This window comes from Homo sapiens, chromosome 1 (assembly GCF_000001405.40).
Source record: "Homo sapiens chromosome 1, GRCh38.p14 Primary Assembly".
Lineage (NCBI taxonomy): Eukaryota > Metazoa > Chordata > Mammalia > Primates > Hominidae > Homo > Homo sapiens.
Window position 1 is genome coordinate 26,458,198 of NC_000001.11, and position 24,961 is coordinate 26,483,158.

Genomic DNA, 24,961 nt, shown 5'->3' on the forward strand with positions numbered 1-24,961 from the left:
CTGCCAGGGACCCTAGCCCCTCTGGGTTGGAAGCTTGCCTTGCAGTTACTAGTCCCTCCCCTTCAGGATAAAGGGCCATACCTATGCAAGCATGGTAAACAATATGCAAACACTCAAGTCTCTATCCCCTGTTAACTTGGTCCCTGGAGAGCACATAACTAGGGGAAGTCCTTGTTCTGGGAGAGACTCCATTTGGAAGCAGCTCACATGATAAAGCTCCAGAAATTTTAATGGACCACAATCTTAAAAGTGAGCTAACGCAGGGCGTGGTGGCTCACGCCTGTAATCCTAGCACTTTGGGAGGCTGAGGCAGGCAGATCACTTGAGGTCAGGAGTTTGAGACCAGTCCAGCCAACATGGTGAACCCCTGTCTCTACTAAAAATACAGAAATTAGCCTGGCATGGTGGCAGGTGCCTGTAGTCCCAGCTACTTAGGTGAATGAGGTGGGAGAATCACTTGAACCTAGGAGGCAGAGGTTGCAGTGAGGCGAGATCGTGCCACTGCACTCCAGCCTGGGCAACAGAGTGAGACTCTGTCGCAAAAAAAAAAAAAAAAAAAGAAAAGAAATAAGTACAATGTGCACCTATTGGTTCTGTGGCCCACTGTGCTGCTCAGATCACGTTTGGGAAGTTTACTGATGGGCTGAATTTTAAGAGACTACAGAGTCAGTTACTCAGTGTACAGAATTAGTTACATTGACAAACTTGAGGACTTACTGGAAGAGGCCAAACTGGAAAGCAAGGAATCTCATGTCTTACAAAAAATGAGGAAAGGATAGTGGTCTGCAAAAGGGAAATAAGTGACAATGTATTCCCTTGGAAAAAAGTGTTGAGTTCCTTCTTTATGCTGGAAATATGGCAGTGAGTGAGTCAGAAATGATCCCTACTGTCTTGAAACTTATAGTTTGCTAGCAAAGACAAACTCTGAACAAGTCATTACAACTTTGGGAACTGATAACAGGCAGCTCTAATCTAGCCTTGAAATACTTGAAAGAATGTCACTTTGAAGAAGAAACAAACTTGTTCCAGAAAAAATACCTGGGACCTTAGTAGAAGTTGTAGGGAAGGTGACATTGGTTTAGCATAAAAAGCCAAACAGGCTATCGGACAACTAGTTATCCCCCATGAGGTACTGAATTCCTCACCACTAGAGATATCAGGCAGTGGCTGTCAAGAGTGTTCCAAAGGGGATTCTTCATCAGTGATTATTATTAAAGTACACCTGGCTCTTTGCTATGCATATGTTATCTCATTTAATCTAAACAGTACCCTGAAAATTAGGTATTCCTATTATCCAGTTTTACATTTGAGGAATCTCAGGCCAGGTGAAATTACCCCTGCTCAAATAAATGGTAAATGGTTGGAGCCAAAATTCAAAGCCAGGCAGTCTGGCTCCAGAGCTCATGCTCTCAACCACTGTGCCCTGCTGCTGGTACTTAAAAATAACAATGGCAGCTACCATTTGTTCATTGGTGACCTTTATCAGACAGTATGTCTTCCAGATGCCCTCTAAGGGCCAAGAGCCAATAACATAATCCAGATGTTATTTCATAGTCCTAAAATTGGCTCTTAGAAAAATCCTGGTGGAAATGTTGATCTAGTCTCGTTTTAGTTCTGCTTTACCACAGGCAGGTGATCTGGCTGCCTCAAGTGACGCCTCCCCCTACTAGTGAATGAATCAGGGCCAGCAGCAGCTGCAGCTACAGCTCAGGATGCCTGTAACATTGTCATCTCTGGGCTTCTGGGTCCTGCTTAGCCTGCTTTTTCCCTGGAGGACTGACCAGGGATGCGGCCCAGCAACATGTTACTAAATCATACTCTCCTCCCTACCTTTCCCAGACCTCTCACTCCTGCCTGGTGTTCCAACCCGTTCTGTGGCCAGAGTATACATTTTGGAACCTCTTCGAGGCCATCCTGCAGTTCCAGATGAACCATAGCGTGCTTCAGGTAAGAAAGAGTTCAGGGCTGGCCAGATGGGATGGGATGGAAGAAAAGATTAGCATTGATTGACAACCACCTTACTATATACCAGGCACTTCCTAATAAGATGATGATAATGATGATAGTAGCTACCACCTACTGAGTATCTACTACTTGTCAGGCACTGCGAACATTTTACATGCTGCAACTCATTTAATGTTCCCAAGAACCCAATGAGGGAAGTCTTATTAGCCCCTCCCTTATGTAAGTAAGCAAACAGAAATGATTTAGTTAAGGACACATAATCAGTAAGAGGTAGGAATAGGATTTGAGCTACAGGTCTTTTATCTTTTAAAGACTCAGGAGGAAAAGGCTTCTCAGAGAAACTGGCCATTATTCCTTTAAAGTATTACCCTAATAAAAGATCGTAGCAGTAGGGATTAAGAACTAAATAGCATTGTCTTTCCATTGTGTAAACCTATGTTGTGTCAAGACTTGAAGTTTGACTTTCAGTTTTCATCACCAAATCTTGAAACAGGTTTTATTAGCAGTCACCTGTATATGATTAGGTCTCTTTATAATAATGGTAGTGGTAGCTAACATATGAGGATCTACGAGGGCACTTAGGTGATTTCATGTAAGTTTTCTTATTTAACCTAACAACCCAGCAGTTTTGGTGTCCTCATTTTTCATATATGGAACCAGAGGGGCAGAGAGACTTAAGTAACTGTCCCAAGGAACCTGAATTTTATCTTTATTTATTTATTTATTTTGAGATGGGGTTTTGCTCTTGTTGCCCAGGCCGGAGTGCAGTGGTGCGATCTGGGCTCACTGCAACCTCCCCCTCCTGGGTTTGAACGATTCTCCTGTCTCAGCCTCCCAACTAGCTGGGATTACAGGCACACGCCACCATGCCTGGCTAATTTTTGTATTTTCAGTAGAGACAGTGTTTCACCATGTTGGCCAGGCTGGTCTTGAACTCCTGACCTCAGGTGATCCGCCCACCTTGGCCTCCCAAAGTGCTGGGATTACAGGCGTGAAGAGCCTGAATTTTAAAATCAAAGCTGGTGCTGCTTCTTCAGTCTGGAGAGATAATGCCAGGAGGAAATAATGATGTGAGTCAGGGATTCTTAATCTCCTTGGTATTGGGGTCCCTTTGAATAATCTAATGAAAGCCACAGACCATCTCCCTAGAAAAATCGCAGATCACTCAAATGTGGAATTTTGCATAGAATTGTAAACTTATCATGGAAACACATAGAATACTTTTTTTTTTTTTTTTTTTGAGACGGAGTTTCGCTCTTGCGGCCCAGGCTGGAGTGCAATGGCGCAATCTCGGCTCACCGAAACCTCCGCCTCCCGGGTTCAAGTGATTCTCCTGCCTCACCCTCCCGAGTAGCTGGGATTACAGGCATGCGCCACCAATCCCAACTAATTTTGTATTTTTAATAGAGATGGGGTTTCTCCATGTTGGTCAGGCTGGTCTTGAACTCTTTACCTCAGGTGATCCGCCCGCCTTGGCTTCCCAAAGTGATGGGATTACAGGCATGAGCCACCAAGCCCGGCCACACATAGAATACTTTAAGGGGGTTCACATAACTGCTGAAATCTGCCCCTGAATCCCAAGTCCATAACTCCTGCTATAAGTAAATCAAATCACAAAGACTTGATCATGTATTTAATTACTTAGTCTCAGAATATGAGGAAATTAAAAGAAGTTTAGAATTAGTGAAAAGAAAAACAGCAAAGGCACAATTATCCACTGTCAGTGGGGAATGAATATCAGATTTTTCCATATGACCAAAGCTCCCTCTAAAAACTAAAACTTTACCCTTTTTTGATGGAAAAATTTCTAAAATGTATCTTGTACATAATTCATTGAAATCTATATACCAGGCACTTGCTAATAATGATGATGATTAGGATAATCACGTGCTATTTTTTGTTTTTTTTTTTTTTTAGCAGGGTCTCACTCTGTTGCCCAGGCTGGAGTGCAGTTGTGCAACTTTGGCTTACTTCAGCCTCCCAAGTAGCTAGGACTATGGGCACACACCACCATGCCTGGCTGATTTTTGTTATTTTTTGTAGAGATAAGTCCTCACTATGTTGCCCAGGCTGGTCTTGAACTCTTAAGCTCAAGTGATCCTCCTGCTTCGGCCTCCCCAGGTGCTAGGATTATAGACATGAGCCACCATGCCTGGCCGTCATATTCTAATGATTATGATAATAGTAATTATCATCTTTAAACACTTCATTGTACAACAATATCCTTGAGGGGTAGGGCTGTTTGCTCTAAGTTAGATGGTCCCAGAATACCTGGGTTTGAGGTTTCATGTATATTTTTCTGTGTCCTCCCTCTTTCATTTCCTACTGCTGTCAACAGTTAATTTTGACAGTATCTCTCCTCTTCCATAGTATTTACTGTTTTAAATCAGCTATAGACAAGGAAACCAGATAGTCAAGCTTGTTGGAATTATGTATATAAAATGAGAGTGAACTGGCTCTGCATGAAGCCCAAAGGAGCTTGGTGCATGAGTTTTTGTGTTTTTACCTCTAATTGGGCTGCTCAGAAGTCTTTTATAGTAATTTCACGTTTCTCAGATACTTTGCATATGGTTGTCAGAGGAGTTAACTCAAGTTTCATTCATTCCATAAGTATTTATTGAGTAGTATGAATCAGGCACTGTATTAGGCACAGGAGAGTCAACAGGTAGCCAGAGGGACAAGATCTCTACCTTTGTGGAACTTGTATTCTTGAGGAGACAGAAATAAACAAGTAAACAAATATATAAGTTCCGATTGTAATAAGGCAGTGAAGAATACAGAGTGATGTGCTAGAAAGTAATGAAGAGAATGCAAAGAGACTGAGGTTAAAGTTTGGGTCTTGGAAGAACAAAAAAGAGGTCAATGTGCCAAGGGAGAAGGGCAGGAAATGAGGCTAGAGTCAGACCTTGGCTCATATAGAGCCTTGTAGGTCATGGTAACAAAGCTGAAGGACTTTAATCAGGGGATGACGGGATCTGAGTTGCATTTTGTAAAAATCATTCAGAATTTTCAACGGGCTGGAGTTAAAGCCAAGAGACAGAACTCCTGCAGTAGTCCAGGTGAGAGAGGATGCGCCTCGAGGTAGGGTGGTGGCAGTAGGGAAGGGGAGGAGTGAAGACGGGATAAAAACAAATGTTGAAATAGAAACAAGTGAAACTAGCTATATCAAGGTGATAATATAACTCCCCAGAGAAAGGAATTAATTCAGCTTACCTGAACACAGTTCTCTGCTATTCATCTTTAGTGGAATTTCTTTTCAGGATAATACAAACTGCAACACAAAATTAAACATTACTTAAGAGGTTTATTGTTAGTGGCAATGTTGGTAATGTAATTATGAAACTCTTGTTTCTTTTTTTTTGAAATGGAGTTTCGCTCTTGTTGCCCAGGCTGGAGTGCAATGGCGTGATCTCGGCTCACTGCAACCTCCGCCTCCCAGGTTCAAGCGATTCTCCTGCCTCAGCCTCCCAAGTGGCTGGGATTACAGGCATGTGCCACCACATCTGGCTAATTTTATATTTTTAGTAGAGATGGGGTTTCTCCATGTTGGTCAGGCTGGTCTCAAACCCCCGACCTCAGGTGATCTGCCCGCCTCGGCCTCCCAAAGTGCTGGGATTACAGGCGTGAACCACCGCGACCGGCCTGAAACTCTTGTTTCTTGTAGGCTAAAACAAATAAGTACAAATAATAATGTTATTAGGAACCAAGACACTTAGGTTGTGGCCATAGCAATTGGTTGTATAGTTCTGCTGTTTCCTGGGATGGGGTGGAAGGTGTTTGAGGTCAACTATTAAGTGTTCCATTTTTACCTATGGATCATATTTGCAAACTTTTTTTTTTTTTTTTTTTTTTTTGAGACGGAATCTCACTCTGTCGCTGGAGAACAGTGGCATGATCTCGGCTCACTGCAACCTCTGCCTCCCGGATTCAAGCAATTCTCCTGCCTCAGCCTCCCATGTAGCTGGGACTACAGGCACGTGCCACCACGCACAACTAATTTTTGTATTTTTAGTAGAGACAGGGTTTCACCATGTTGGCCAGGCTGGTCTCAAAATCCTGACCTCAGGTGATCCACCCACCTTGGCCTCCGAAAGTGCTAGGATTACAGGCATGAGCCGCTGCGCCCGGCCTATATTTGCAAACTTTTATTGAGTTCTTACCACATGTCAGGCATCCTTCCAGTATTGAGTTCTTACCACATGTCAGGCATCCTTTCAGTAAATTCTGTGAACTGCTTTAAGGCAGATACTATTATTATTGCCTCTGTTTTTAGAGCAAGGAATCCAAAGTTATAATAGAGATACTGATTATCTTGAAGCCTTCTCCAGCAGGAGCCCTTGGAGGTCCTGGCCAGGCTTTCTCTACCCCAGAAGCTTCAAAGCTCTGTTTCTAGAAATCATATCACCTTGGCAGATGCACTAAGGGGAGAATCCAGACTAACAGCATCCTCACCAGTTTGTTCTCAGACCAGAGAGGTCTTTCCAGGCTTTTCTCATGTCTCCCTTTTACAGACCCTGTATCATGGCCAAACTGGACTCTTCCCAGTTACCTGTTCCATGCCCTCCAGTTTCCTACCTGTATGTCTGTGCTCTTGCCCCATCACCCAAATTCCCATTTTAAAATCTGAGCTGCTCTGTCTCTAGGCCCTGCCCAATGTGTCCCTATTCTCTGCAGGAAGCCAGGGCAAGGGGCTAGGCTCTGGACCTAGAGTAGCTTACTGAGAGGAAGGCAGCGGGTGGATCGTAAGGGAAGCAGGGACTTGGCTACAAGTTGTGGGGAGCCAGACCTTGGTATCTGAATGGACCATGACAGTCTCCAGGTGGTCACCTAGCCAGTCTTAAAGGCTGGCAAAGGGAGATCTTGACTATGATGCAGTAGGACTTGTCAGCAAAGAGGCAGGGACAAATAGAGAATCAGGCCAGGGAGGGGGTGTGCGGCAGTGCAGAGCAGCTGATCCTCAATCACAAGTTGCATGGATGGTAGGTCCTTGAGAGGTCACTGATGGAGATGAGTAAAAAGTGTTCACCTCATCTCCAAGGATGATATTAGAGAGGGAAAAGACACATGTTCCCACGAAGCTTCCTGTAGTACATTTGTCACAATTTAAACGGGCTGGATTGAACATTATATTTCTTCTGCTCTTCAGGTTGTCACTATCTTCTCCTCAGGATAAAAGCTTGAGTTATGTATGTATGCATATATGTATGCATGTGGAAATGGGGTCTCGCCATGTTGCCCAGGCTGGTCTTGAGCAGCTGGGCTCAAGCGAGCCTCCCACCTTAGCCTAAAAGCTTGAGTTAATGTCTCAGACATTCATGACTTTGAATATTGGCACTGCCTACATAGCTATATGACTGTACAGTTACTTAACCCCTCAGAGTATCATTTTCCTCACCTGTAAAATGAGAGAAGTAGCGTTTACAGTAATACCTACCTTGCAGGTTTGTGATAGGGATTCAGTAAGCTAACACATGTCAAGTGCTGAGTGCAGTGGCTGGAACAGAGTTCATTTTCCAAGAATGGTGGCCAATATTGTTCCCCACATGTGTGTCTCTTGGCCTCTCCTCAGACTCCTCTCTGGAAAAGCACCCTGCACATCCTGTCCCCAGTACAACTCCCCAGGCAAGGAGACTCTGAGGGTGCTTCAGAACATCATGTTTCTGGTAGGAGGTGCCCTTCTCTGCCTGAGAGCAGCCCTCAGAAATGCATTCCTCATGCTGCTGACCTGGGCTGGCTGGTTGCAGCTTGGGGAAGGACTTTTCATTGGCTAATGTTTTGAAGCCAAGGACCTGCAGCCTCTCTCCAGGTGCCAACAGAGTGGTAGAGGACTTTTAGATTTAAGTACTGGAGGGACTATTACATCTTGTTCTCTGATTCTACCAAGGAGAGAATAAGAGCAGAGAGGGATAATGCCCAGGAGGAATTTAGATTCATAGGTTAGAACCACATTTCTCAAAGTGAGCTTCTTGGAGCCCTTGCACCAAGATTGGATAAGGTCTGTACAAAAAGTCTCTAAGGAAAGAATTAACGCCCTCACTTACCCTGATTGGTCATTATACAAGGATAGTAGACAAATGGTCAGGGAGAGAAAAGTTGACCTCTAGGACTTCTGTTAGCTTGGATTTCCCAAGGGTAAGTACTTGAGAAGAACTGGAAACACCTCTGAGATTGAAAGGGTAGATTCAGACCATGTGGAAGCTGGATAGACAGGTATCCAGATACAGGCCACCAGCTTTTCCACCCCTAGAAAGTAGAGCTTATACACAGGCACGAGATACACTTCACATTGTCCTCTCAAGAAGTTATCTTAGTGGAGAAGCCAAGGGAACTTCAGCCATCTCAGCCTCGCTGTCATTTTCTGTAAAATGACGAGCAGACACCCTCCCAACTCTGCTATCTGAACAATGAACTGCTAATTCCTGGCAGACAGGGGCCAGGCTCTGCCTGGGCTACAGCCCCCATTGCTGGCATGCACTCTGATGCCATCTGGAAGAAGCTTGCGCCTCATGAAGTGGCTTTAGCTAGCTCCATATTTCCTCCCTCTGTTGCTGAGCGTCCCCCATCCTTTCTGTTCTGCCAGAAACTTAGACTACTTAGCCCAGTCCACAAGTGGCGGTGATAGAACAGCTAACAGTTAATAGCCAAGCAGTAGGCTGAAAATTCATTATCTCATTTTTCCTCAAACAACCCAGTGAGGTGGGTACTCTTATCCCGGTTTTGCAGAGTAAGAGAGAGCCTTAGAGAGGTGAGGGAGGCCTTAGGAACTTCTCAAACCCCAGTGCTCCAGGTGGACTTACTCTGGCCTTAACAGGCTCTTCGGTTCCATGCATCTTTGCTCATTACTCCCACTGCCAGAATATTCTCCCTGCCCCCCACACACCTCACCTCTGTTTGAATCCTCCTCATTGGTTAAAGGGCCAGCTCAAATTCTGTCTGTCCATGAAGGTCACTGCTCCGTGATGTTCATCAGCCACACTTGCTTTCTCCTCTGAACTGCATGACCCTTACCACATCCTATTTTGCATCGTGGCACTCTGTGTGCATGGCTGTACAATCAGCCTGTAAGCACCTGGATTGCTGGGATCGTGTCCTGCGCATCTCCATATCCTCAAAAAAAATCCTGTATGTAGCACCCAGGGAGCCTCCTGACCAAGGCCTGGAAGAAGCCCTTCCAGCAAGACGGAGAGCTCTACGGCAACTGTTCAAGCCCGAAGTCCTCATAGCTCCACATGTAATTCATTGTAATAGCAGAAGAGAAGTATTCTTGAATGCCTGGGATTATTCAGGAGCCGGGGGGGACAGTCCAGAATTCTCATTTGTCATCCTTATTCATGCAGTAAACCTTTATTGCTGAGAGACAGCAAATCAGTTCCCTGCTCCATGTCTGTCTCCAGCAGAAAGTACCTCCCTCACAGCTCCATTGTGAGGGTCAAGTGAGGCAACAGATGAAGTGGTTGTGCACATGTAAGATATTCTTTAAACCATGAAGACAGAGCAGTCAAGGTGCTTACAGGCTGATTAGGACAAAAACATGTATACAAGTTTATCGTAATACAAGGTAGAATGTGGGAAGGGTCATCAGGGTATAGGATACCATAGGAAAATAGAGTTTCTCACACATGGAATAGGTTTGGCAGGAGGAGCTCTAGTGCAAAGGCTTTGCAGGTCAGTTAGACTGGCAGGAACAGAGAGGATCAGTGAGGCACAGGAAAGCCTTGGTTCTGCTCCAAAGGGATTTTCCGCTCTTCTGTATCAGGAGCATCCTCACTGCTCTCCTGGGATCACGTGGTCAGTCAGTTGAGTGTTTCACATGTACAGGGCACCCCAAGTGCTGGAGAGGAAGAAGCCCAGTCTCTGCCCTCTAGTACTTGGGATGATAACTGCTGCCAGGGAGTATGATCACCACCTGGTGTCAGAGCTGGTTGCAAGAGGCTTGAAGGCTCTCAAACTTCCAAGGGCTTATTTTCTAACAGAAAGAGTGGATTGTGAACACTAACACTTATTCTACTATGCAGAATGCAATAAGTGGCTTAAGAGAGTTGAACCTGCTTCTCAGAATGTTCATAGGGGGGTCATTTGCTGGAAGGATCAGGCTGGTCTTCATACAGGAGGCAAGTCTGGAGCTCTGAAAAATAGCCTAGGGAGTGGGGAGGATGGTACCCTCAGAGGAAAACCTGGGGAGATCAAAGGAAGTGACCCAAGGGACATGTCCCCGACAAGAATAGGACCTTTCTTGCAGCGGAGAATAGACAATAACAACTTGTAAAATTGCTGTTTCTGTCTAAGAGCCTGCTAATATCCTAGAGAGGATTTTGCATATGTTATCTCTAATCCTTAAAACCACTCTTCAAGGTAGGCACAACCCCCACTTTACAGATGAAGAAATGAGGTTAGGACAGGATTTGCCCAAAGACACAAAGCCAGTTGATGGGGGAATCAGAAGTCAGACCCACATTTGTTTGGTTCCAAGAGCATGAGAAAAACTTTAAGAAGTACAGACGCTTCCACACAAAACAAACCAAGATGGACCCAGAATTGCCACTGCCCTGCCTGTACAACATGAGCACCACCCACTGCATACCTACTCCCAAGCCTTTTCAAATCTGGTACCTACTTTCCACTGTTCCACTTCACTTGGCCCACCCTGTGCCCCACCCCCTACCTCCTCCATCCCAGTTTCACCCACTCCTAAAAATGATCTCCCCACCCCAATCCCCACTTTTCTCTAGCAGAAGGCCCGAGACATGTATGCAGAGGAGCGGAAGAGGCAGCAGCTGGAGAGGGACCAGGCTACAGTGACAGAGCAGCTGCTGCGAGAGGGGCTCCAAGCCAGTGGGGACGCCCAGCTCCGAAGGACACGCTTGCACAAACTCTCGGCCAGACGGGAAGAGCGAGTCCAAGGCTTCCTGCAGGCCTTGGAACTCAAGCGAGCTGACTGGCTGGCCCGTCTGGGCACTGCATCAGCCTGAATGAGGCTGGCCACCTGCCACTTTGCCCTGCCCTCTGCCTCCAGGGCTCCACTCCCCTTCCTTTTCTTGGTGAAAGGCACCTCCTTTCCTGATAATGAATGGTGTTCCCTTTGCTTGGCTGGGGAGCCCCCCAGGCCAGGTTTGCTGGCCATAGATACCTTTGGGCTGCCTGGGACAGGCTCCTGAGGAGGATTGAGGGTGAAAGTCTCCCACGAGTACACTAAACCTAGGTCTGGTCACCAATAGGGTTTGGAGAGCAAAGGGCCACAACTCATCAGCTGCCTGTCTCTTAGATGCACTTTCTTTTTCCACCAGCACATCCTTCAACACACAGAATTTCAGGGAAGAGTTCTCCCCAAAACCCTAGCTCTTTACCCTTCCATTTTAGCCTTCCACCCAGCTTCCACAAAAGATTTGGCTCTACCTTGGATCTGCTAGTAAATAACTAATAGGCAGGCAGTTATTTGGGTAAGGAAAAAAGGGGTGGGAGAGACAGAAAATTTGCCCATCTGCTGCTCCTCCCCCTTGGCTCTCCACCTGGGATTTGCTATTGAATCTCTACCCTCTCCCACCACACAGTACTGATTGCTCACTGAAAGACTCAGCACCCCCAATGGTGCGCGGAAGCCAGGCGGGCGATTACAATCCAATTACCTATTGTCGACTCAGCCCACACAAGCTTTTCTCCTCCTCTTGCAGGGCATGGGGCCAGGCTCCACTCCCAAATGAGACTGGCCCCCTCCATGGTTCAGGGTAACAGAAGGGCCTGTAGGCCCTGGTGAACTGAATCCAGCACAGGCCTCCCCTGTAACACAACAGGACTGAGCAGAACCAAACACTTCTTCCAACTGACTCTGCTCCCTGCCCTCACCATCTCAAACTCTGATTCCCACTCCACTCTTCGAGGTTTCTCTCAGCTTTTTGACCTGGCTCCCTAAGTAGGCCCTAGATGATTTATTCTTGGCATGGCAAAGCTTGTTCTAGGTCCTCTGCTTGTGAGGGTCAAAGCTGTGTCCTTTCCCTTACCTCCCTCTGCCAGGACTTGCTGCAGAGCTGCTGAGAGGATTAGTGCCTTTGAAGAGCTGTCTGCCTGAGCAACTCTATTTCAGGTGCCCCACACCGGCAAGTACCAGCCAGCAACACCAACCAAATGCTACTCTCTTTAAAGTCCATTTTCCTTCTTCTTTTTTTTTTTTTTTTTGGAGACAGCATCTCACCCTGTCCTGGCTGGTCTCGAACTCCTGACCTCAGGTGATCCGCCGGCCTCACCCTCCCAAAGTGCTGGGATTACAGGCATGAGCCACCATGCCAGACTTCCCATTTTACTTTCTGCAAGCTGTTTCCCTAGCAGCTCCCTCTAGGGGAGAGGTGAAATCTTGCAAGTTGTAGCAAGAGCACACAGGAAACCCCTAACTTTCCTATACCCCACCCGCCTCTTCCCCTTTCTGTCCCGGGATACCTGGCGGCAAGAGACTTCTTGGCTATTGTCCATGCTCCCAGAATCAAGCATAAATGCCAGACACGGCGATTGAGAAGCCAATCAGTGAACCCTTTGGCAAAGCCCCCATCCACACCTGGCACTCCCCTCTACCAATCCCTGGCACAGGGTTCCTGGAGAGCAGGTGCTGTACATTTTACAGCTTTACAATGGGGCTGTTGACAGCCATAATTAGGGAGGCATGAATTATGCGGCTATAATGCAGAGCCCTACAATTAAGGCGGGAATGAGGGGCTGGAGGCAGCAAACGGAATCTGCCCTATGAGCGTGGCTGTTGAGTCCTGTCTCCTGGGTCTGACTTTCCGTAATATGATTGGGGTACAGTAGAGGTGATTAATGGGGCTGGCATCTCTCTTTGGCCTGAGGTTCTGTATTCTGGGAAAGGTACACAGGGTGGAGTAGGGAGAAGCTGCCCCAGGAGGCGATGTAGTGGTGGAAAGAAGAGGCAGAGAGGTCGTCGTCGTCGCCCAGCAGCAAGGGCTGCAAAATAGTAGAACTCGTGGTTGCTTTGGACAGGTGTGATTTGTGCAAGCCAGGTTCAACCCTTGCCTCAAGAAATCAGATGGGACCAATTTAGTGTCCTTCCACCTGTGAGCCAAGCCCCCATTTGAGGACATCTATCGTATTCTTGTGTGCTGGGTCTCAAATAGAATTTTTAAAGATTCTTAGATGTAAAACTTGTTTGCTAACTGCAACGGAAGAACACCTTCTTTTGCTGCTGCAATTGCCTACCCTCCCTCAGGTGCACTTGGCTAGCTCCAAGACCCTGGCTTTGGACTAGGGGGCACCGGAAGAGCCCTTTTGCCATCACACCACCTGTTCCTCTACTTGTTTCCTAATCCCCGGGCGCTTTCCTCCACCCTCCTTTCCTCGCGCAAGTGAAAGGCAGCCAGCTTGACAGTGTGGAAGGAGGGATTTCGCCAGCTGCGGCTGCAGTGCCCAGGCTTGGTGGCCGCGTCGGGTTGGGCAGCTGGGCAAAATGTCTCCGAGAGGGGTAGAGTGTAGGGGGAAGTGAGTGCTGGTAGACCTCGACGGCCGCTCTCCACCATACTGTGGCGGGGTCTGGAGGTTTGGGAATACAGGGACCTTAAGGGAGCCACCCGAGAGGAGTTGGGGGTGGGGGCTTCGATAGCATTTGGGGAGGCGGCTGCGCAACGGGTGCTGAAAGGACAGCTCCTACCTGACCCACGGCACCCAAAAGGCACCTCTGCATGGAAAGTCTCCCCCTGAAACCCCTAGCCCACCTCGAGTGGGACCGTCTTTCAGGTGAGGTGCACGAAAGGCTTCTCCGAAGTGGCAGCTCGGAAGGATGCACGTCCGGCTGCGCCAAGCTGGTTTCCCCGCCTTTTTCCCACTTTGGCGTCAGCCTGGGCTCTGGGAACTGCAGCCTGTGCCTCCAGCCGCGCGCTTCCTCCTGCTTCCAGAGGAGCAGGGCAGTGCAGCCAGGCCTCGCAAACCCCTCTTCTGGGGCCCCCAGCGGGAGCAGGAAGGAAAGCCGCTGAGATGCGCCGTGAGTGTCGCACGGCTTGGAGAAGTGGGTTGCTGGGTTGCATAAGGTGGAAGGAACTTGCTAGTTTGCAAAAGACAGCTCTTGGCGGGAGCCGGAACCCGGAGCCCGCCGACTCGCGCACCCCTCCTCATTTACTGCCTTCGACGCGCGCCACCCCGACTGCGCCCCCACCCCCTCGGCGCGCCGCCGTCTCCGCGCACTACCCCCCCCACACACCCCCCTCCTCACTCCCTCCAGAGGAGGTGAGTTTAAACCCCGCCCACGTGACCCCAGCTGGGCCAATGAACGGCGGCGGGAGGTGAAATCCGGTTCTAACCGGTCCGGGGCTCCCAGCGCTATAAAAACTTTATAAACCCCCCGGAGCCCGAGCAGTGTGAAGAAGAGGCGAGAACGACCCCCGGACCGACCAAAGCCCGCGCGCCGCTGCATCCCGCGTCCAGCACCTACGTCCCGCTGCCGTCGCCGCCGCCACCATGCCCAAGAGAAAGGTACGTGGCGCGAGGGCCCCAGGCGCCGGGCCACCACTGCCGCCACCGCCGCCGCCGCCTCCCTGGTGCAGGGAGCGAGAATCGGCGCCGAGCAGGAGCCAGCGCAGCCTCCCCGCGCGGGGGCTGGAGACGGTGTCGGGCAGCTCGGGGCTAACCCTGAGCGGCTCGGCTGCCCGCGGGCGCCAGAGGCCATATTGGAGGAGCGGCGGCCGCGGCGGGAGGAGCCATGTTGGCGGCTGTTTATCCCGCTCTCCTCGGGCTCGCCGCCCCCGCCCCGTGCCCCCTCCCCCATCGCGAGGGCCCCTTCCCTCCCCTCCCTGCGGGCGGGCAATTCAAACCCGAAAGGGCGGGAAGGCGGCGCTCGGGGTTGGCGGGCGGGGGAAAGCGCTGCCGCCAAAAAACCGCCGCCGTGAGGGGCGGGGCTTGTGCGGTATGGCCCCGCCCCCTCGCCCACGTTCCCCGCGCACGAGACGCGCGCTGTCGCCGCCCACGAGTTCCCCGGGCTGCGCGCGCCTCCCTCTCCCGCCCTCGACGGCTGCCATAGCAACGGCGCTGGGCTCCGCCTCCGGAGGGGGTTTGTTTGCGCCATCTGCAGCTGTTGCTCCTGCCTGTCGCGGTGGTGCGGGCTCCGCTGCCCTCCCCGGCTGCGCTCCGGTCCAGCCCTCGCTTCTCGGGGTCGGCGAGCCGGAGCTCCTGCGCGCGCTTCGTTCTTATACGAACGTCGGGCTCACTCATTTATGTCCTAGAAAAGTTGTGTGGACGACTGCTTTAATTTTCATTTTTAGCACTCTAAAGTTTGGGAAGTAATTAAGAACCACCTCAAAATCTGCAGTTTTTTGTTCTTGTTTCTTATAGGCTGAAGGGGATGCTAAGGGAGATAAAGCAAAGGTGAAGGACGAAGTAAGTCATTCTCTCTTCAAGGGTCAAAGCCTTGGACTAGCAGAGGCCACTGGACTCGGTGATTAACCGTAACCTGTGTCCTGAATTTACACTCCTATAATCTAGAGCAAATTGATACCAAACTTTCAAAGCGACTTACCTGTCCTATTTCTAACTTTCTCGTTGTCTTTAATAGCCACAGAGAAGATCCGCGAGGTTGTCTGCTGTAAGTGTATGCTTTTGAATTTTCGTGCTTGTCCCTGAAACTAAAAAACATCAAAAAACAATTCCCTTTGCTTCCATGAATTATGGTTAGTGCCTGGTTTTGAATCATTGCCTCTACTTGGGACTCTTGCCCCTTTGGGTTTTGCTGGTTCTGAAATTCTGATGCCTGTAGCCAAAGTGGGACATTTGAGTGGGCTTCTGGAAATCCAACATTCTAGAAGAAAGCCAACCACAAAAACTTTTGAGGAGGAGGAGAAACTTCTCTACCCTTGGTACTTTTGGTTGGTTGTGGGTGGTTTTCTTCAGTCCATTGTACTGATGTTCACTTTTTCCTCTCTTCCTGCCAAAAAAAGAAACCTGCTCCTCCAAAGCCAGAGCCCAAGCCTAAAAAGGCCCCTGCAAAGGTAAGTGCTAACATTGGAACTGATCATTTTCACAGAATGAGGACTGTCCTTAGTGCCTTAACTTAATTAGCATAATGGTGCCTCCATTAATGGAGGTTATAAACTGTGTGGATAGCTTACCTCGTCCGTGTCATTCATAACGTTGGTTTCCTGATCAAGAATTCTGTTGTTAGTTTATAGGAAAATCTGCATTTAAATATTAAATACCCCAGGGTTTAAACTAATTTATTCTTCTGTTACTTAGGAAATTCTAAGTACTAAAGATTATAGCAAATTACAGATAATTTAGCCTAGTTTTGATCAGTTGTTCTTGTCAAATGGGTGAGGGTTTGTGTTTTATCTTGAGTAAACAATCCTACCTTGTGCAGAACTTTGCAGACCATACCTTGGTAATACGAAATGGGGAGAAACAGTTCTATTTTTTCCCCTTTTTCAGAAGGGAGAGAAGGTACCCAAAGGGAAAAAGGGAAAAGCTGATGCTGGCAAGGAGGGGAATAACCCTGCAGAAAATGGAGATGCCAAAACAGACCAGGTATAACTGCTGTTTCACCCTTTGTTAGATTTGTTCATTCAGTTAGTTGCTGATATCAAAAATTTAATTGCCCTTTTCTTGTATCACTCCAAATGTACCATTTGGTCCAGTGTGCTTGTGGCTTTCCTGTTAACTTAAATCCTGGATTCTTGAAATCTCTACTGTCAGCTGAAGGGCATTGTGTTTTATACTACATGAAGTTTTCAAGCTAGGAGTAACCTCAGGTCTCTTATTCTGGTGTTCTTCCTACCTCAATTTTACAGTGAGGCCCAGAGGAGAGGTGACTTAGCAAAGTTACCTAGTAAGTCATTCTCAGAAGAAATACTGAGTCTCAGTACCTGAAACCTGAACTTTGGCCTGGGAGCAAAGTGATGCTGTAGGTGGAATGTGAACACAGATAGTTTTGAAATCTACGCATTGCATTAATTTGTCTGTTTTCTTTTAGGCACAGAAAGCTGAAGGTGCTGGAGATGCCAAGTGAAGTGTGTGCATTTTTGATAACTGTGTACTTCTGGTGACTGTACAGTTTGAAATACTATTTTTTATCAAGTTTTATAAAAATGCAGAATTTTGTTTTACTTTTTTTTTTTTTTTAAAAGCTATGTTGTTAGCACACAGAACACTTCATTGTTGTTTTTGGGGGAAGGGGCATATGTCACTAATAGAATGTCTCCAAAGCTGGATTGATGTGGAGAAAACACCTTTCCCTTCTAGTTTTGAGAGACTTCCTCTTGGCTCCCAGGAGGAGGGATTCCCTGACTTTGACACACATGGCCACCTTGGCACAAAAGCCTTGTGGTATAGAAAAACAAATTTGTTTTTATGTCCTCTTCTCCCTTTCCATCGTTCAGCATAGACTTAACTCCCTTAAGCCCAGACATCTGTTGAGACCTGACCCCTAGTCATTGGTTACCAGTGTGTCAGGCAATCTGGACTTTCCAGTGATGCCACTGAGATGGCACCTGTCAAAAGAGCAGTGGTTCCATTTCTAGATTGTGGATCTTCAGATAAATTCTGCCATTTTCATTTCACTTCCTGAAAGTCAGGGTCGGCTTGTGAAAAGTTGTTAAACAACATGCTAAATGTGAAATGTCAACCCTCACTCTAAACTTTCCCTGTTCAGAGCATCAGATGAAGACTTCATTGGGTTTTATAGTGGCTTTCTGATTTTTGGTAGTCCATTGAAGAAGGGAGTTTGAAAGTTGTTGTATACTGTTAACGATTGTCTGCCCATGTCCTGCCTGAAATACCATGATTGTTTATGGAAAGTATCTTTAATAAAGCTGGATACAGTTTGGCTTGGAATGCTGCCTCTGATCTTTTCCCACAAGTGGGGTAACCTGGTTTATCCAAGTCTCTTGGAACAGGGTACGTTCTGCTTTGAGGTACTCCATGTACAGTCTAATGATGATCTTTCACTGATTTATAGTCAGCTTCCAAAACACACAGTGCTAGGTGCAGTTAGGAAGGATTCCAGGAGTAGACTTAGCTGATGGTGAAAGGCTGGGAGTATGGAGTGATTTCTGTACTTGGTTATGCAGCATTCCCTGCAGTGTTTGTTTTTTGCATGACTCCGAATACATGAAGTGTATTAAATGCAGATTTTTGGTAGATCTGCGGTTTTGGCTGGGTAGCTGACAGGAGCCTCTCTACTTCCATCTGCATTTGCAACTTCTATAAAATTAGCAAATTAATAGACTCATGTCAGAGAGTGTCTCTGTGAATGTGTACACAGTTGTCCATTTGTAAGGTAGATGACACTTTGCTCCTAAGTAGACCTGCAAACAAAGACAATGGGGTCTTTCCTGATTCCTTTAGTTTGGAGATGCAGAGAACCCCACGTTTCTCTAAGTGAAATGGCAAGAAGTTATTTGTTAGAATATGGAACTGGTAACAAATTCATGTTTGCACCTTGAATTTGCTTTCACAGACCTGGCTGTATTGTTGGACAGGAATAAAGTAAATTGGAGACTAATTGCTTTGTCCATTCCCTTAGTCAAAAAAGTATCGCTGTTAAGTTCTTGAGGTTTTTTGTGTATTATCTCTCAAGTGTTGAGATGTTTGTGTAATATATGTATCACACTCATGGATGAGGAATCAGGCACAGATGAAACTTGTTGAAGGTTATGTGTACATTTAATGAGCAGCAGAGTCAGGATTCAGACCCTCAACTAGACAAAAGTCATCTCTGACAGACTTTTATTCAGGATAAAATACCATTTGTCCATTTAGCCAGTTACCAGCCATTTACTTTCATTATTGCTGAAGTCATTCATTCTAGGTTGTAGACGGGTAATTTTTATTCTAAAAGCGGTGTCCTCTTCCAGAGGAAACTTAAGAGACATCTTAGAATGGTCAGGGGTAGTGGGCTGGTATTTGAGCAGAGGTTGCAGAATTTGAGAAAGTTACAGCTGAGGTTCTTTGTTAGTGGCAAGTCTGCTAAGCCCTGGGCTATGCTAACAGCTCTGCCTCATGCTCTTTAATCTTTGAGTCAGACCTATGAGATACAGGTGTAGCCCCATTTTGTAGTCGAGAGTGAGGCTCAGATGTGAAGCGACTGGCTGAGGTTAAACTTGATAGTCTGTTTTTACTTATTTTCTGGCCCTCTTCTTGTTGCCATATAATTAGGATGAGTAGGGTAAGCTTGAACTTTTTCGAGTTTTTTTCTTTTTTTCCTTCCTGGAAAATACTGATTTGACTGGCTCTGGACCATGAAAGTAGCTGGGCCTAAAACCAAACCAGACATCAAAACGTGGTAAGGACCATTCACTAAGACAGCCATGGTAGCATGCTCAGTGCCAGCCCTGTCTCCAGGCCCATTCTTAAGATCTCGGGAAAAGTCACCAGATGCTTGGGCTCTAAGTAAAAAAAAAAAAAAAGTAACATAAATGGCACAAACTAGAGGATTCATCTGATACAAGTCCCGAGGTCGGGCAGTTGTGAGGACCCAGGTGGGCTTCCTGTCTTTCTGCTCTGCCGCCCTCAACATGTTCTCCAGCCACCTCACCTTCAAGGCAGTTGCTCCAGACATCGTAATTTGCCATACCAATGGCAAGAGGCTGGAGGACTGCTCCTTTTTTCCCTGCATTTAAGAAGAATGAAATATTTCCTACAAGCACCCCAGCAGCCTGTGTTTCACTGGGCAGATCTGGATTGCCTCTCCACTCCTAAACCAATCATAGCAAGAGGAATGAAACCACAGAATCTGCCTAGACCAGTCAGAATTGTTGGAATTCAATAGAGGAGGGATGATGATAGAGGAAAATGGCTGTTGTGTGGACAGCCTGCTGCACGGTCTCTTCAGGCCTGGCCTGATTCATTGCAGCAGTTAACACTGCTGAGAATTACCCCTCCCCTTCTTTAAATTGAGAAATAATCATATACCATTAAAAGTCACCACTTTGGGGGGAGGGATAGCATTAGGAGATATACGTAATGCTAAATGACGAGTTAATGGGTGCAGCACACCAACATGGCACATGTATACGTATGTAACCTGCACGTTGTGCACATGTACCCTAAAACTTAAAGTATAATAATAATAAAATTTAAAAAATAAATATACTTAACGCTCTTGGGGAAAAAAAAAGTCACCACTATATCATTATTTTAAGAGATGGAGTCTTGTGTTGCCCAGCCTGGTATTCAACTCCTGGGCACAAAGCAGTCCTCCCACCCTGGCCTACCAAAGTGCTGGCCACCACACCCAGCCAAAATTCACAATTTTAAAGCATATACTACAGTGGTTTTAGTACATTCACAACATTGTGCAACTATTGCCACTATCTAATTCTGGAATATATACGTGTGTGTGTGTGTATATATATATATATAAATATATGTGTATATATATATAAATATATGTGTATATATATATAAATATATGTGTATATATATATATATATATATATATATATATATATATATATTTTTTTTTTTTTTGAGATGGGGGTGTCTCACTGTGTCACCCAGGCTGGATTGCAGTGGTATGATCTCAGCTTATTGCTCACCGCAGCATCTACCTCCCAGGCTCAAGCTCCCACCTCAGCCTCCCAAATAGCTAGGACTACAGGCACACACCATGCCTGGCTAATTTTTTGTGTTTTTGGTAGAGACAGGGTTTTGCCATGTTGCCCAGGCTAGAGTCTTGAACTCCTGACCTCAAGTGATCTGCCCACCTTGGCCTCCCAAAGTTCTGGGATTATAGGCATGAACTACCCTGCCCAGCCTCTGAATATTTTCATCACCCCCAAAAAGCTCCATGCCCATTAGCAGTTAACTCCCCATTTCTTCCTCCCCCATCCCTAGACAATCACTAATTACTTTCTGTCTCTCTAGACCTTTTCTGGATATTTCATCTAAATGGAATCAATCTGTGTTTTTTCACGACTGGTTTCTTTCACTTAGCATGTTTTCAAGGTTCATCCGTATCATATGTATTTGATAACTTGTACTGCCAAATAACATTCCATTGTATGGATATATCACATTGGATAAGTCACATTTTATTTACTCATCAGTTGATGTACATTTGGGTGATTTCCACTTTGGGACTATTGTGAATAATGCTGCTACAAATATCATATAGAAGTTTTTGTAGGCATATGTTTTTAGCTCATTTGGGCACATACCTAGGAATGAAATTGCTGGGTCATATGGTAACTCGTACTTTTTTCTTTCTTTCTTTCTTTTTTTGAGACGGAACTTCGCTCTCGTTGCCCAGGCTGGAGTGCAGTCACATGATCTCGGCTCACTGCAACCTCCTCCTCCCAGGTTCAAGCAATTATTCTGCCTCAGCCTCCCAAGTAGCTGGGATTACAGGCATGTGCCACCATGCATGGCTAATTTTTTGTATTTTTAGTAGAGACGGGGTTTCTCCATGTTGGTCAGGCTGGTCTTGAACTCCCGACCTCAGGTGATCACCTGCCTTGGCCTCCCAAAGTACTGGGGTTACAGGTGTGAGCCACCTTGCCCGGCCTTTTCTTTCTTTTTAAGACAGTATTGCTTTTGTCACCCAGGCTGGAGTGCAGTGGCGTGATCTCAGCTCACTGCAGCCTCCCCCTCCTGGGCGATTCTGCTGCCTCAGCCTCCCGAGTAGCTGGGATTACGTGTGCCCACCACCACACCCGGCTAATTGTTTGTATTTTTAGTAGAGACAGGGTTTCATCATGTTGGCCAGACTGGCCTCAAATTCCTGACCTCAGGTGATCTGCCCACCTTGGCCTCCCAAAGTGCTGGGGTTACAAGTGTGAGCCACCATGCCTGGCCTCATTTATTTATTTATTATTTTTTATTTTTTGAGACAGAGTCTTGCTCTGTCTCCCAGGCTGGAGTGCAGTGGTGCAATCTCTGGTCACTGCAACCTCTGCCTCCTGGATTCAAGTGATTCTCCTGCCTCAGCCTCCCGAGTAGCTGGGACTACAGGTGCCCGCCACCACACCTGGCTAATTTTTGTATTTTTAGTAGAGACAGGGTTTCACCATATTGGCCAGGCTGGTCTGGAACTCCTGACCTTGTCGTTGTGATCCGCCTGCCTTGGCCTCCCAAAGTGCTAGGATTACAGGCATGAGTGGGAGCCACCGTACTGGCTTTTTTTTTTTTTTTTTTTTTTTTTGAGACAGTCTTGCTCTCTCGCCCAGGCTGGAGTGCAATGGCGCGATCTCAGCTCACTGCAACCTCCGCCTCCCGGGTTCAAGTGATTCTCCTGCCTCAGCCTCCTGAGTAGCTGGGATTACACGCACCCAACATCATGCCCAGCTAATTTTTGTATTTTTATAGAGAGGGGTTTCACCATGTTGGCCACCAGGCTGGTCTTGAACTCCTGACCTCAGGTGATCTGCCCACCTCAGTATCCCAAAGTGCTGGGATTACAGGTGTGAGCCACTGTGCCCAGCCTGTGCATCTTTTTTTAAAGAAGTGTCTATTCACATCCTTTGCCAAGTTATAATTAGGGAGTGTGTGTGTGTGTTTAACATGCTTCTCAGGAAAGTATTCTTTGTGGGTTGTTTTTATTGTTGAAGTGTAAGAGTTCTTTTCTCTTACTTTTCTTTCTTTTTTTTTTTTTTTTTAGAGTGAGTCTTGCTCTGTCACCCAGGCTGGAGTGCAGTGGCATGATCTCAGCTCACTGCATCCTCTGCCTCCTGGGTTCAAGCAGTTCTCCCTGTCTCAGCCTCCAGAGTAGCCGGGATTACAGATGACCACAACTGTGCCCGGCTAATTTTTTTCTATTTTTAGTAGAGACGGGGATTCACCATATTGGCCAGGCTGGTCTCGAACTCCTGACCTCAGGTGATCCGCCTGCCTCGGCCTTCCAAAATGCTGGGATTACAGGCATGAGCCACCTTTTCTATTCTTTCTTTTCTTTTATTTTCAGACGGTCTCGCTGTGTCCCCCAAGCTAGAGTGCAATGGTGCAATCTCGGCTCACTGCAACCTCTGCCTCTCAGGCTCAAGAGATTCTTATGCCTCAGCCTCCCAAGTAGCTGGGATTACAGGCAATGCACAACCACGCCTGGCTAATTTTTGTATTTTTAGTAGAGACAGGGTTTTGCAATGTTGGCCAGGCTGATCTTGAACTTCTGACCTCAGATGATCCGCCCACCTCAGCCTCCCAAAGTACTGTGATTACAGGCGTGAGCCCCTGCCCCTGGCCTCAGAGTTCTTTATGTATATATATGTGTGTGTGTGTGTAGTTTTTGGTTTTTGATTTTTGAGACAGGATCTAACTGTGTCTCCCAGGCTGGAGTGTAGTTGTGCAAACACAGCTCACTGCAGTGTTGATCTGGGCTCAAACAATCCCCCCTTGTAGCCAGGACTACAGGCGCACACAGCACCATGTCCAGCTAGTTTTTTGTTTGGGCGGGGTTTTTGAGGCAGAATCTCAACTCCGTCCCCCAGGCTGGAGTGCAGTGGTGCAATCTTCATTCATTGCAAACTCCGCCTCCCGGGTTCAAGAGATTCTTATGCCTCAGTCTTCCGAGCAGTTGGGATTACAGGCGTGCGCCACCGTGCCCAGATAATTTTTTTTGAGACCAAGTCTTGCTCTGTCACCAGGCTGGAGTGTAGTAGCGGGATCTCAGCTTACTGCAACCTCCGCCTCCCAGGTTCAAGTGATTCTCCTGTTTCAGCCTTCCAAGTAGCTGGGATTACAGGCGCCTGCCACCATGCCCGGCTAATTTTTGTATTTTTAGTAGAGACCAGGGTTTCACCATGTTGGCCAGGCTGGTCTTGAACTCCTGACCTTAGGTAATCTGCCCACCTCCCAAAGTGCTGGGATTACAGCCTTGAGCTACCGAGCCTTTTTTTGGAGATGGAGTCTCCCCCGTGTCACCCAGGCTGGAGTGCAGTGGTGCGATCTCAGCTCACTGTAACCTCCGCCTCCTGGGTTCAAGCAATTATCCTGCCTCAGCCTCCCGAGTAGCTGGGATTACAGGTGTCTGCCACCACACCCAGCTAATTTTTGTATTTTTTAGTAGAGATGGGGTTTCGCCATGTTGACCAGGCTGGTCTTGAACCCCTGACTTCAGGTGATCCGCCCACCTCGGCCTCCCAAAGTGCTGGGATACAGGCATGAGCCACCAACCCTGGCCTAATTTTTGTATTTTTAGTAGAGACGGGGTTTCACCATGTTGGCCAGGCTGATCTCAAACTCCTGGCCTCAAGTGATCTGCCCTCCTTAGCCTCCCAAAGTGCTGGGGATTAGTGGCATGAGCCACCACACCAAGCCTGAGTTCTTTATATAGTTTCCATATTAGATACTTATAATATCCGTAATCCCTTCATTCTGTGTGTGTGTGTTTTGTTTTGTTTTGTTTTTGAGATAAGAGTCCGGCTCTGTCACCCAGCCTGGAGTTCAGTGGCATGAACACTGCTCACTGCAGCTTCAGTCTCTGAGCTCAGGTGATACTCCCACTTCAGCCTCCTGAATAGCTGGGATTACAGACATGTGTCATGACGCCCAGCTAATTTTTAGATTTTTTGTAGAGACGGAGTCTTAACCATGTCGCCTAGGCTGGTCTTGAACTCAAACAATCCTCCTGCCTCAGCCTCCTTAAGCGCTGGGATTACAGGAGTAGCCACTGCGCCCGGCCCTTCTTCACTTTCTTAATACTGTCCTTTGACAAACCAAGTTTTTAATTGTGATGCAGTCCTGTTTACTTATTTTTGGTTACTTGTGCTTTTAGTGTTATATCTAAGAAACCATTGCCTAGTCCACAGTCATGAAGATTTACACCCATGTTCTCCAAGAGTTTTAAATAGTTTTAGCTCTTCACTTTAGGTCTTTGATCTATTTTGAGTTAATTTTTGTATAGTGTGTGAGGTAGGAGTCCAAGCATTTCCTTTTAAAAACTTTTCTAGCCCTCTTCCTGGGCTAGAACTTCTAGTTTCTGAGACGGCATTCCTCCAGCCCCTTTGCAATCCCCTCCTCTTCAGTTTTTCCTCATGATGTCATCAAGCGACTCACATTTGCATCCCTCCCAATCTCTCTTGAG

At 47.0% G+C, this 24,961-nt stretch overlaps 2 protein-coding genes and 1 long non-coding RNA gene across 23 annotated transcripts in view, besides 7 other annotated features; 2 read left to right on the forward strand and 1 right to left on the reverse strand.

Moving 5' to 3' along the window:
* DHDDS (dehydrodolichyl diphosphate synthase subunit) overlaps positions 1-13,109 on the forward strand; it is a 38,986-nt gene extending 25,877 nt beyond the window's left edge. For 11 of the 20 annotated variants that reach the window (XM_047430853.1, XM_047430863.1, XM_047430856.1 and 8 more), the window contains 2 exons: positions 1,840-1,947; positions 10,698-13,109. In XM_047430853.1, the coding sequence (XP_047286809.1) occupies positions 1,840-1,947; positions 10,698-10,934 (345 nt within the window). In that variant the 3' untranslated portion in view covers positions 10,935-13,109. Of the gene's footprint in view, positions 1-1,839; positions 1,948-10,694 lie in introns of all 20 variants that reach the window. The other 9 variants (XM_047430849.1, XM_047430859.1, XM_047430851.1 and 6 more) reach the window with 1 other exon arrangement.
* On the reverse strand, positions 4,559-9,340 carry DHDDS-AS1 (DHDDS antisense RNA 1). Of its 2 annotated transcripts, NR_125952.1 has the most exons (4): positions 8,851-9,340; positions 8,007-8,127; positions 5,179-5,236; positions 4,559-4,673 (listed from the first exon to the last, which is right to left on the reverse strand). It is a non-coding gene; the product is annotated as a DHDDS antisense RNA 1 (long non-coding RNA). The 2 variants fall into 2 exon arrangements; NR_125953.1 differs by lacking the exon at positions 8,007-8,127.
* Positions 12,850-13,558: an enhancer, noted in NCBI's record as "H3K4me1 hESC enhancer chr1:26797538-26798246 (GRCh37/hg19 assembly coordinates)". NCBI's record gives its function as "activates a minimal SCP1, AML or CMV promoter by ChIP-STARR-seq in naive H9 embryonic stem cells {active_cell/tissue: H9 hESC(naive)}" and the evidence as "EXISTENCE:reporter gene assay evidence [ECO:0000049][PMID:30033119]".
* Positions 13,559-14,268: an enhancer, noted in NCBI's record as "NANOG-H3K27ac-H3K4me1 hESC enhancer chr1:26798247-26798956 (GRCh37/hg19 assembly coordinates)". NCBI's record gives its function as "activates a minimal SCP1, AML or CMV promoter by ChIP-STARR-seq in naive H9 embryonic stem cells {active_cell/tissue: H9 hESC(naive)}" and the evidence as "EXISTENCE:reporter gene assay evidence [ECO:0000049][PMID:30033119]".
* Positions 13,638-14,053: a silencer, noted in NCBI's record as "fragment chr1:26798326-26798741 (GRCh37/hg19 assembly coordinates)". NCBI's record gives its function as "represses an EF-1alpha promoter that drives an FKBP-Casp9 reporter gene in an ReSE screen in HepG2 liver carcinoma cells {active_cell/tissue: HepG2}" and the evidence as "EXISTENCE:reporter gene assay evidence [ECO:0000049][PMID:32094911]".
* Positions 13,938-14,207: a silencer, noted in NCBI's record as "silent region_477". NCBI's record gives its function as "represses an Ori minimal core promoter by ATAC-STARR-seq in GM12878 lymphoblastoid cells {active_cell/tissue: GM12878}" and the evidence as "EXISTENCE:reporter gene assay evidence [ECO:0000049][PMID:35858748]".
* Positions 14,243-18,445, forward strand: HMGN2 (high mobility group nucleosomal binding domain 2). Its single transcript, NM_005517.4, has 6 exons — positions 14,243-14,430; positions 15,286-15,330; positions 15,506-15,535; positions 15,888-15,938; positions 16,375-16,470; positions 16,916-18,445. Exons 1-6 carry the CDS (start codon positions 14,416-14,418, stop codon positions 16,949-16,951), a joined length of 273 nt encoding a protein of 90 aa, NP_005508.1. The 5' UTR covers positions 14,243-14,415; the 3' UTR covers positions 16,952-18,445.
* Positions 14,468-14,757: a silencer, noted in NCBI's record as "silent region_478". NCBI's record gives its function as "represses an Ori minimal core promoter by ATAC-STARR-seq in GM12878 lymphoblastoid cells {active_cell/tissue: GM12878}" and the evidence as "EXISTENCE:reporter gene assay evidence [ECO:0000049][PMID:35858748]".
* Positions 14,798-14,967: a silencer, noted in NCBI's record as "silent region_479". NCBI's record gives its function as "represses an Ori minimal core promoter by ATAC-STARR-seq in GM12878 lymphoblastoid cells {active_cell/tissue: GM12878}" and the evidence as "EXISTENCE:reporter gene assay evidence [ECO:0000049][PMID:35858748]".
* Positions 20,747-20,947: a silencer, noted in NCBI's record as "peak134 fragment used in MPRA reporter construct". NCBI's record gives its function as "represses an SCP1 promoter by STARR-seq MPRAs in K562 erythroleukemia cells {active_cell/tissue: K562}" and the evidence as "EXISTENCE:reporter gene assay evidence [ECO:0000049][PMID:32103011]".